The sequence below is a fragment of the Homo sapiens genome, chromosome 13 (assembly GCF_000001405.40).
Source record: "Homo sapiens chromosome 13, GRCh38.p14 Primary Assembly".
Lineage (NCBI taxonomy): Eukaryota > Metazoa > Chordata > Mammalia > Primates > Hominidae > Homo > Homo sapiens.
This window is the reverse complement of record NC_000013.11, coordinates 83810565-83820947: the sequence shown is the minus strand read 5'-3', so window position 1 is coordinate 83820947 and position 10383 is coordinate 83810565. Positions and strand designations below refer to the sequence as shown.

The 10383-nt window shown below is 32.4% G+C and overlaps 1 long non-coding RNA gene across 5 annotated transcripts in view; it reads left to right on the top strand.

Moving 5' to 3' along the window:
* The first annotated feature begins 3222 nt into the window (after positions 1–3222).
* Positions 3223–10383, top strand: part of LOC105370286 (uncharacterized) — a 97595-nt gene continuing 90434 nt past the window's right edge. For all 5 annotated transcript variants that reach the window (XR_942129.2, XR_001749945.1, XR_001749947.1 and 2 more), the window contains exons 1-2: positions 3223–5271; positions 9680–9765. This is a non-coding gene — a long non-coding RNA (uncharacterized LOC105370286). The remainder of the gene's footprint in view (positions 5272–9679; positions 9766–10383) is intronic.

The following is a 10383-nucleotide window of genomic DNA, read 5'->3' as shown; positions in this document are numbered from 1 at the left end:
CAAGGCGGAAAGCCAAACCAAGCAGACTTCAGATTTTGTCTGCAGTACCTGAAACAATTTAAATATAACATCCCAGTCAATACCTTGGTAACATAATCAAGATTTTCAATTAGACTCTATTACAAGAAGAAACAGATTCCCATTGAACTTATGTAAGTAACCCTATTCACATAAAAATAAGAATACTTAGAAATAGTTTCAGAATTTTGGAAAGATCAAATAGGGAGAAAAAGTAAATATTTTTTATTTTGTTCAGAAAAGGATACTTACCAAATTCCTGTTAACTATAGATACCTTAAATCCAGGGGGGGGAAAAAAACCCATTTAAGTAAAGAACCAGTAATGTTTTAAATAAATAGCCTGTAAAACTCATAATTTAAAAAATCAGTTTATTTATTCTCTCAGCAGTGTCACAAATTTATCAATTTTTAAAATAGTGATCTGGAAGTTCTTAGTTAATCCACTGATCTTAAAGTTATTATAAACCTGTATTTAAGAGTAATGATTAGAAATATTTTTTCATGAATCTGACTATTGATGTCTTTAGAGAAGACTTAAAACAATAACTGTGGATGAAAAAGAGATAGAATAGCCATGCTTAAAAATCTGGTAAGAGTTTATTATAATGATGCAATTGACAATGAACTCCAATTATTTTTATTTCATACATTATTTTAAGGTAACAATGAGCATCATGACTGATAGCATCACTCCAGGACCATCAGACTTCTATACATTTTACATAATCCTTAGGACATTTACATCAATAGCATATTTATATAAATAGAACTTAAAGAAAATTTAGCATCACTCTATCATTTGGCAATGCTTCCCACGCAATCTAACATGGTAAATGGGCCATGTTAGTTAATATTTAGGTGAGAAACACACCTTCAGAGTTCTAGGGGCCCAATTAGATTCCAAAAGTTAGTTTGCAGTTAGAAAGACTTAATTTAGAACTTTGATTCTTAGGAAGCTTGCCAAAGATGTCAAAATTTTAAGACACTTGATTAAAATAGCATCACAGGTCACTGTGAAATAATAACCAGCCGTTTAACCAGAACGATAATTTAAAGACTTCAAAAACCAATACAGAAAGTTACATATATTTAAAAAGAATCTCAGACCTCTAACAGAGATGACTCATTTTTGGCTAAGCAATCAAACAGACTTACTAAAGACAAGAAGCACAGAAAATAATCTTGATGAAACAAATCTTTGTTTTTGTAGGCCAATTTTTAAATGATAAAGAAAAATGTCCTGTAGTGTGATTGCTTCTGTTTATGGGAAGCCCATTTAGATATCCTGGAAGTCAAACCTGATGAAAATGTACTTTAATTCAATCAAACACTGGAAGTATGTATGCCCTAAGTTTTAAATGTACACCATATTGTAGAAGAAATAACTAAGAAAACTAGTACCATGAGCAGGAGAGTATATGAATCTTGGAAATAGTAAAGGCATGTGAAATTTCCTGGTCATGAAGAACAATTCAAACATACCAAAAAAAAGCCAGTAGTACAGAATCAAGTTACTGGAGGAAGACAGTACTGTCTTAGACCATCGACACAAATACTTTTAGCATCACGTCACAATAGCACAGTCAGAACTGGGGAAAGAAAAAGCTACCGAAACTAATAAAAAAGCTAAGCAAAAGAGTCATTATTCCAGCCAAGCCGCCCCACAAAAAGGTATCTTTTCAAGGAGAGAAGGATGAAGAGCAGAAGGCAATGACACATGACCTGCAAATCAAGTGCAATGAGATACAGCAAAAGTTGAAGTTGTGAGATATAAATATCAAAAGCTTTAAAAGGAAAATTTTATTTTGAGAAATACAATTATTATTTTGAGTGAAGATAGCAATCGTAACCTGATCAGGGTAATTAAATGAAAACCAAAATGGAATTAAATGGAAAATGTAAAATATTAAAAAGCTGTAGTTCAGAAGTTCAGGAGATGGGTGAAATTTTAAACAAATTTCAGAATTAAAAATTTAAAACCTCTTGCAAAATTTTTTAAAATTAAGAGCAGATCAATTTTCCAAGAAAATCTTGTTTAAATGTAGGGGACTAGATTCTGGTTTTGCATTATTGTACTTTGATATTAATAATTCTTAGAAAAACTTTCAAATAATTACAGCCAACTTGATCACACATAAAATTCCTCTTATAAGATTCATATTTTATAAACCTTTTACAACTTTCTCAGACCTTTTATAACTTGCTCGAATCTTCTACACCTTGTTCAAACATTCTATGACTTGCTTAAGACATCAGTTTTGCCCTGTGCTTTTTAAAAATTAGAAAAACCAACCACTCTACCTTGGACAAAAATGTATTTTATCTTTTTCCTTATTATAGAGACTACTCAAAATTCTTTCTCAGACAAAAGTCACCCCCTTTTTTCTTTTAGCTTTCCTGAACAGAAATACATTTTCATACTTACAACTTTCTTTGCATCTGTCTCCTACTTATTGGCTCCTTTTAGCCTTGTTTTTAATTTATTCTTAAATTCATATTCTAAGATAACCTTTAAATAACCTCTAACTGTAGACAAAACCATTCCTTTTAAATAGAAAACATATTTTAATGTCATAAATATTTGTCACATGTATATATATTTTCATGTCATATATACACATTTATATGTCATATATATTCTCATGTCATATATACATATTTGTATATGTGTGTGTATATATTTGTATATGTATGTGTGTATGTATATATATACATACACACATACCACATACATACACACATATTTTTTAGCCAATAGCACATTTTACTTTTCTGGTACACTTTGTATATATAATTATATATATTAATTACAAATTGTAACTGTCAGTATATTTAATTTCCAGCAAAAACATAAGTAAGCAAATTGTAACCTGTCACATTTCAACATTTTATGAAAACATATTTTATAATTTCTAAAAATATGTGCTTCTCACAGAATAAATTTTCAATGGGGAATAGAAGATATTTACCAACAGACCAAAGTGTTTTCCATTTTTTTAATAAAATTTAAGAATCCAAAAGTAAATAAACTTGAATCTATGTTCAGCAATCAGCATTTTAGTATTTTAACTTACTTGGAAATGACCTAGGCACTCTATAAATATGTATTATTTAATTTAGAATAACATAAATTTAAGATATCAAATTACATAAAAAATTGAATAAGAAGTTCATTTATAAATATCTATTCCATTTACACCTATTAAGTTATTTTTTAACAATTATTCATAAATTATTTATGAAAACTGAGATACTAGGCAAAGCTAGTCATCATTTTAAATTATTGTTCTCTTAACCATTTTTATAGCTTGTGAATATCAGATGTTAATGATCCAAGTAAGGATAAAGTAAAATATATGAGCATTTTTGCAATAACTCAGAAGATACAGCTGTTTACATGAAACCAACAATATTATATTAGTCTAATTTATCAGAAGTTACACAAAGATAATTTTGCTCTTAGGCTGAATGTACAGATTTATGACCTTAAATTCTCTAGGAGAGACATATATAACCTTGTCTGATCAGCAAACCCAGACAAAACATGTGTGCTCACAACTCTGAAGACACCTTCATCTTTATTTTTACCAACAAATGTAAAAACAGTTTATTTACCAAAGATTTACTTGAGTCATGTGAACTAAAAGACATCTGGCTTACTGTATATTTTTAAAGTTTTAAGTATAATTAGCCTAAGTCCTCATTTATCACTGAGCCAATTTGAATAGAATTCTTTAAGAGATTTTACCATTGCAGACAGAAAATACATGTATAAAAACACATAAACATGTATATACACAAAGATCTTATACCTTTCATTTTAGAATTTTTGTGATGAGACAGTAAAATACAGTAATATAAACTCACTCTAATTTATAAAAGACAGTTTGATCCAAATTATATTTCCAACAAAATGGCACAAGTTAACGTCACCTGTTCATGTGGCTAAACCTCAAGATTTTTATTTGTCCTGTTAGGTAATCTTATAAAGGCCGTGGACCTAATTTGAAGTAAAGCGGTTTTCATAGCAGTTTAAAATAACCCTCTTTACTCTTTTTGGCTGTTCGGTCTCAAATGAGTCTTAAATGTTATATTTCAGTTAAAACTGCCTGGAAAATAAACCTCTAAGTTGCCATGAATTTAGTCACAGATTTGTCTTAATACAAGCAAAAAAGTCAGCAGATTCAGAGGAAATTTAAAAAATGAGAAATAGAGATATTGCTGCACCATTCAGACTGTTTAACCCTATAGTTGCATTTTTTTGTTTTTGTTTGTTTTTCATTAATGCTAAGGGAAATAAGCTTGGGGAGCTCAAATGGTGCCCATAATGGCCATAAATTATCTTTAGTGTAACCTGTCCATTGGTTTAAAAATGTGTGTGAAGAAAAGCTATACATTTTGTATGTATATTAAGCTGAGGTTTCTGAAAGAAGCTTGTCCTTAGACAACTTAGCATGCCTTAGAATTTGAAGATTCCATTCTGTTTCTCATTAATCTTTCAAGAACAAAAACATCCTATAATTTATATCTAGATTTTCAGGGTTTGGGCAAAGCGTTTTGCTTTGACAAGTGTACCTGACACAGGACTTTTTTTTTTTTTTTAATCGTAAGTAACCTTTGCTCTAGTTGTTTGACCTGTGACCAGGTTTTTCCTATTTGCACTGCATTTTTCTGGAGACTGGCAAGTGCCCTAGTAGTAACTTTGCCTGTCCATACCCAATGTTTTCCAACACAGAATAGTTTACCCTCAAAAACAGAAGTTCCTCATAGATGGTGGTGATCACTCTAGTGGCCATCCCATATTCACCATTTAAAAAATAATTTTGCTCTAGAAAGATGTTCAGAAACAAGCAAGGAAAAAAATGTAAGAGCCAAATTATTTCTAGATGCACATAAGCAAACCAAAATGATACCCCAAAAAAGAGTACTCACAAAAATTTTAAACCAGGCATGTAGAGCAAACAAAATATTAAACCAGGTGCATAGAAAAAAAAGCAAATGTGAATTTATCAGAGAACACAGGAGGTCATCATAGACAGAACAAAAACTCTGCAAAAACCAGAGTATTATCCAGAAGATCAGTGTCCTTATACCAGAAAGGGCTTGCCAGAAAAGACAAAAAGTCTTTTGTGGTCCAAGAGGGATGCAGTGTCCTTTGTTAAGGCAGCTTTTATCCCAACCAGATCCCGAATAAAGTCAAAAGAACTCACCATAAGGAGGGAGTTCAGCCTGAGAGAAGACTACTCACCAGGTAAGAAAAGATGAGACATGGAAACCAAGAGCTCAGAAAGGTTCTAGTGGGTAATGCATGTAATTGCAGGAGTCACCCATCCTTTCAAGGTGAGCTCACTTTAGGTCACATTTCTTGACACCAATTTATGTCAACTTAAAATGACAACAGAGAGAGTATTCAAAGGTAATGAGCTTCTCTGGGAGTCAGTACTGCAATGGGAAATACAGTGCCGTAATAAACTATAAGCATATTTAAGGAGGAAGGGGAAGACAAAGGTTTTTTTTTGTTTTTGTTTTTGTTTTCTTTTTCTTTTCTTTTCTTTTCTTTTTTTTTTTGGTTGAGGCGGAGTTTTGCTCTTGTTGCCCAGGCTGGAGTGCGGTGGCGCGATCTTGGCTCACTGCAACCTCCGCCTCCCGGGTTCAAGCAATTCTCCTGTCTCAGCCTCCTGAGTAGCTGGGATTACAGGCGCACACCACCACGCCTGGCTAATTTTTGTATTTTTAGTAGAGATGGGGTTTCACCATGTTGATCAGGCTGGTCTCGAACTCCTGACCTGGTGATCCTCCTGCCTCAGCCTCCCAAGACACAAGTTTTTAAAGGTAAAATGAAGAGGGTTACATAAGTTATTTTTAAGCAATTATCCTTAGCTACCAGAATCAATAACAAGGATGGTATCAGTCCAAGATTAAACGGGTAGTTGCTGGGCGGATGTCATTGTAGAAGTATAACATGTGTAATGTACTCTGGCCTCTGTGCAAGGTTGCGATTTTGGCAGTCTTTTTTTTTTGGAAGCAGAGCCTTGCTCCGTCGCTCAGGCTGGAGTGCAGTGGCGCGATCTCGGCTCACTGCAACTCCGCCTCCTGTTGGCAGAGTCTTTTGTTATCAGGAAATTACGCGTGAGAACTCTCTCTTCATGGCGTTCCCTGACTCCATTTTGTCAGAGCTTGATACAATCAGCTTCATTTTGATTTTGACAAGTTTCCCATTTTAATGACAAGAATTTTTTTTTTTTTTTTACCGATAACTATTCTTTTCTTATTTGCTGTACTCAACAAATGTACATTACCCGTACATTAAATAATTGCACCCTACTAAGATTATAGCTAGAATTTTAACAAGCATTTCCAATCTTCTGAAAGGCCTCTCAACAGGACATTTAGTACCTGAGAGAACATTCTAAGACCCAAGTTCTGTCCTGGAAGCTTGTTGTCTAAGGAATTTGCTCATGGTGCCACATAATACAAAAGGCTACATGTATGGATAACTTTCTTAGAAAATTGATTTTTACGTAACTCACAGTCATGGACATCAGTAATAACAAATCTGGAGTTCCATGTGGTAATACATTCTATCCCAGGAGTAAGTTATATCTGAGATGGCACTGGAAAAAGATAGTTGCTTGGTAACTGTTCTTATGGGTTGAATTTCACCTCCCAAAAGATATGTCACAATTTTAACCCCGGCATCTGTGCATGTGGCCTTCTTTGGACATAGGGTGTTTGTAGATGTGATTAATTTGAGCTCATACTGGAGTATGGGCCCTTAAAAAATAAGACAGCGGTCCCTATAAGACGAAGTGAGAGACAAGCACAGGGAGAACGGGTGGCCACCAAAGCAAACACTGAGGTGATGTAACTTCAAGTCAAAGAGCAGGGATTGACTACCAACAATGGAAGCAAGTGAGAGACAAAGATGGGTTCTACCCAGAGTCCCAAAGGAACTATGTCCTGCATAGTTCCTACATCTTGATTTCAGACTTCTAGCCTCCAAAACTGGGATAGAAAAAAATGTCTGTTGTTTGATACAATCCAGTTTATGCTACTTTGTTAAAGCAGCCCTAGGAAAGTAGTAAAATAAAAAACTAATGTCCAGCCAGTATCCACTGATGAGATCATAGTCATATTTTAGAACCGATTTCATTCAGACTGACTGTAGCTTACATTGGTTGATGCTCAAGCTATACTTGTTATAAGTTTTTTGAAGATATCTCATTTTGTGAACATGGGATCAGAATAAGAAAATGAAATTGTTGAAAAGTGTGATCATGCATAAATATGGAAGTCTACAACTAAGAATCCTCCTTCTTAGCACATGAAGGGCAATGCTGAATTTTTCTGTTAAGACTTTACTTTTTAATATTTTAAATTTATCATATTTTGCCTCTACTTACTAATAACTTATTTCTCTACTATCATTTAATTGGATTTCTCTACTATCAGATAAACGCTTTGCTCTGGCCTATTTAATAAAGATTCTACAGTTAAGTCTCAAGAGGTTAGTTTTATTTCCCTCATTGCCCTTGTGGGTGTCTCATCAGTAAAAGTAAAACAAGATACTATGTTAAGTGTGAAATCAACACAAACATGAAGATGTAGTGCTTTGCCTTTAAGAAATTTAGATTCTTCACCAGTAAGCTTGATCTTGGTTCTAGCTTCTATAGGGCCAGTCTGAGATGGACACAGTTGGTGGTGAAGGGGCTTGGTTTTGGAGTTTAAGAAACAATAGAGAGGGCTTAGAAGGCCACCAGATACCACTCACAGACATTCATTCTAAACTTAGGACAATTCATTGTTTGGGTTTTTCTTCAGACAACAGGCAAGTAACTAAGGTCTAGGGTAACTTACCTAAGGTTTTATTAATCTTGAACAACCAAATTCCATGAAGTTCAAAGTTTTATTACTGCTGTTTTACAGAATGTTAGGGATTGGCCATGATGTATAGTCCCTACCCTTTGGAGATTAAAATAAAAGAGTAACGTAGTGACAGACTTTGAAAGTGAAGGATGTATAAAATGAGCACATAAACCAATCTGAGGATGTCTACAAAGCCACTGGATGAATGTAATATCTGAATTAAGCCTCAGAAGATATGTGAGAGTGAGGTAGTCAAAAAAAATAGGGGAGGCATTTTAGACATACAAGCGGGAGTGTACTAAGTGACAACAAGATCATGGAGGATTTGCATGGCAATCTGGGAAGGTGGTTTTATCCTGTGGGTGTCCGGAAGCAATTAATGCATTTAAGGAGAGCAACAGCACATTTTCATTTCCATTTCAAATGAAACATTTGACTGGTGTTGACAAAAACAGATTTAAAGACCAACAGCCTACAGGCATTAGGAAAAGTGAAGGAGCTATTGTGGTGACTCAGGAAAGATACTATAAACTGCTGAATTAGGACAGTAGTAAATGAGAAGGAAAAGATGATTTTTGAAAAGTGAAATTTTTGCTTTCTAAAAATCATATGTGACACATACATGTGAGTAAACTCAATGCATACATTTTTGTGCATTCATTTATATATATACACACGTAATCTTTTTCTCAATACACAAAGGTAAATATTAACTCTAATGATTTTTGAATGATAAAAATAGTAAAAAAATTAAATGTGTACTCATAGAATTAATGACTATATAGCTTCCGAAAAGAATGAGTTAAATATAATAGATACATAGACATGTCACAAAATGTTATTTTTAATATATAAAATTTTTTAAGCGTTAAAAATATTTTAATTTTATATTTTATAATTTTATATAATTTATAAGATAGTTTTATCAGAAATTTAGTTTTATAAAATTTAGTAGTAATTACTATTTATAAATGTGTACAAAATAAAAATGTGCTTAAAACTTTATGTTCATCTTTGACATATAGTCCTTATAGGATTATAGTTATATTTTCTTTTTAGGTAATCTATTTCTGCTTTATATGAGTTTTTTTCAAGTTGCTGGTTTTAATGTTATCTTTTAGAAAATTTAGGATATGTAGAAAAAATAAATACTTACAGACTACAATTTTGTAGGACTCTCAATTAATTAGCTTAGGGAATAATGAAGAAGGAAGAGTCAGGATTTTGTCTTTCTTTCTTTCTCTTGTTTTAGTCCAAGGTAGCTTTTAGTGCCACAATTTGAACAAGCAAAAAAATATAATTTTGCTTGATTTTTAGAGAAGAGAGAAATGGTGATTTTTTTTTTTTTTTTTTTTGCATTTAATACTTGATGTATCTCTAGCATATGCAGGGGAAGATTTCTGATGGTTGAAAGAACTGAAGCTATGAACAAGGGATTAATTGCCTGAAAATAGTAGTCAATAATTATAATTTAAAATAATTCGTAACATGAATAGTTATGGTGATTCTGAAGTAGATGAATTCACTCATGGAGAAGATAATGCTGAAAGAAAAAAGACAGACCCTGGAAAAACTTTTCAGCTATAAATCATAGAAGTTAGAACCAAAGACTGCATGGAGATCTTCCAAATTAACAACTTCCTCATTTCCCAAAAATAAAATCTAAAATCCAGATGAAATATTTCATTCAAACTCATCTAATTAATGGTTAATTAGAGGCAGGACAAAGATTATAAATGAGTACAATTCTGCAGATTTTCAGTTAATTTGTTTCTCTTTCTCTATCCTTCCAGAAGAGCTTGATTAACAATTTTACGGCATTTTACCCCTTAAAAAACTCTTCCATATACGCAATCACCTTTGAACTCCACAACACATGGTAGGTATGAAGGGCAGATGGTGAGTTCAACTTTATAGCCAATATAAAGTGAAATAGCTTTTACAAAGTTGAGTGTTTAGTAAAGCACAGAGCCAGAATTTGAATCAAGGTTTTCCAAAGCCAATTTGGGTACTTTTTCAGCATCACCAACAACATCTGAAAAGTAAGCTTTTATATCACTTGACTCACATGTTTCATCTCAGTGTTTGAAAGTGGAAAAGACCGGAATTTTTCTACTATGTATGTGCTTATTTGAGTGCATTCTGGAGATAATAGCTTTTCTTCTACTTGAAATATATGAATATAACATAGTTTTTAACCATAAAATAACTAGAGTCAATAAAATGTTAATCATTTTTAAAAGAAAGTTAATAATATATGAAAATTTATTTATATAATTGTACTTATAAAATAAATATTGTGTATATAATTGTATTTATAAAATAAATATAAGTATAAATGGATTTATAAAATAAATATTGCAAAAAGTTGCAATATTTAGTTTTCACAATTAGAAATTCTATAATTGATGACATGATAAAAAAAGTGCTTTTATGAATGCACATTTAATTCTTTAATCTTCTCCCTTTTTATTTTTATCCCATTTTGAATTTGCCC